Here is a 2,303-nt window from a genome sequence, read left to right as displayed (position 1 = left end):
TAACCAACTCAACCTACTTCCTTGCAGGAGTGAGTCCGTGCTGCTGCACATGCCCCAGCCTGTGAATCCAGAGCTCACTACAGGGCGCATCACAGGACCGGTGGACAGGCTCAACCACTTCCAAGGTGAGTGTGGCCCTCTTGGTGGGATCAACATGCAATGCCTTCAATTATGGTTTTCTATGGGCAGCCTTCCCAGTGTAACGATCTTTCATCTAGAAGAAGAGAATAGTCTGTGAATAGGTATTTATATTTATAGTTTCACTATCATCAAACAGACAAAACTAAATAAAAGATGGTGGAATCAGCCATATAGCAAATGTATTAGAAAAGTAAAACATGCAGAAGGGCTCTTTAGGATGTAGAACCATTCATGTATGCTTCAACCGTGATACAATTTCATGTATACAATTATTACATGAAGTATACAGAACTGAATTAATCCAGGACATTTCAATTTCAAATTCAGTGCAGTTAATGACTGATTTGAGTGACAGTGTTTTTTTAAATACATTTCAGGTGAAGTTTCACAGCATTTATAATTTTAATCATGTGCATTTTAATCAACTAAAGCATACACGAGTAACTTATATAACAATGCAAACACTGAGAATCTGTGAAAAATAGGAACGTGATTTGGTGGTTGATGAGGCCTTAGATAGAACTCCAGGATAGATCATGATAAATCCAGCAGATAAAAGAAGTCTGTGCCTGAATCTGGCATGAAAGTCAGATAATTCTTGCAAGGAAGCTGCACTTTTCAGAAGGCAGATTCAGATTTTCTCTTTAAGTATGAAATGACTAGTTTAAGTGGCAGATTATAATATTTCTGGCAAAGTGATAACTTTTTTATTTGGGTCTAAGGATGGCTCCCCACCTCATCTCCTATCCGCAGCCTCCTGCTCTGCCCTGACAGAGAAGAGACAATGAAGGTTAATTTTATTGCTGTGGACTTGGCTGCAGTGCAAGAGGTGCCAGTTTTTCAGTTGTTATGAAAGGTCACTAACTAGACATAGACATGACCTTCCTCCCCTTTATAATTTTTGAGTTTATGGAAATTGTGATCATTGAAGTTGAGCCATTTACTTGTGCAGATATCCTAACACCCTTTGATTCCAACATTTTTCCAGACAGAAGTTTCTTTCTAATCTTGACCTGTGTTTTCTAGTGAGAATCTCTTTCTTATCTGAACATAAGAATTTATAAACTGCTTTTCAATGGATCATTCTCTTTTTTCTACAGTGGAAATTTCCTTCACTTGGGAAGTAACCAATTACAATATCAGGCTGTTTGAGGATGCGAGAAGTTTGATGTTGAGACGTGAATCTTTGCGTTCTGACAGATCTGACTATTTTGCTGCATGGGGAGACTGGGTCTTCTCCTCTGGCAAACACTACTGGGAGCTGGATGTGGAGAACTCTTGGGACTGGGCTCTGGGAGTCTGTAAGGACTCCTGGATAAGGAAGAATAGCACAATGGTTAAATCTAAGGATATATTTCTTCTTTTATGTGCCTGCTGTCCTGACCCACATTTCCAGGGATAACCTGGCATACGTAGACACTATGTAAAGCCCACATCCATTAGAAGTTTATAACACTATGTTTTCGTGTGACTGTTTTCTTGTTCCTGCAGTGCATATTTCCTGGGATAATAAAATAACCACTTGGTACATTCCCCTTGTTTGAAGTTCTGAGACAGCTACTCTTTGGTTCTGATTATCTCAACATTGCCCCAACTCCAACAAAATCTAAGTGTTTTCTTGATGGCGAGCCCTGCCATTCACTTTTGGAAGATATTACTGAGAGGTGGACGTTGGGCAGTGCTGGAACTGGGCTGTTGGATTTTGCAATGATTCTTGGACAATGAGAAATGACATGCTGGTTAACTCCAAGAAATTTTTTCTACTTTTTTGTGTCAAGAAGGCTACTGGTGTCATCTCAAGACCTCTTCCCCACTATTATCTCAGTATACAGAAAGGCCTCTAGGCCAGATGGGGGTGTTTCTAGATTATGAATGTGGCATGGTAAGCTTTGTTAATGTGGCCAACAGTTTTCTCATCTGTAGCCTCTCTGGTTCTTTCCCTTACCCTCTTACAACTTTGCTTTGTTTTGCTTTGCTTTGCACTCACAGAATCAGAGAGAGGTCAGTAACGTGACTAAAGGTATCAGAAACACCAACTTCTGAGAATGCTAACTACTGACTACTTGACATTCTTTATCTTTTTCTATGAAACTTTGTACCATTTTTAAAAGTGTGGAGGTATACATTTGTTTTGATTTTCATTAAACTACTACTCTCTCTTA

Source organism: Homo sapiens, chromosome 11 (assembly GCF_000001405.40).
Source record: "Homo sapiens chromosome 11, GRCh38.p14 Primary Assembly".
Lineage (NCBI taxonomy): Eukaryota > Metazoa > Chordata > Mammalia > Primates > Hominidae > Homo > Homo sapiens.
Note: the sequence above shows the minus strand (reverse complement) of the source record.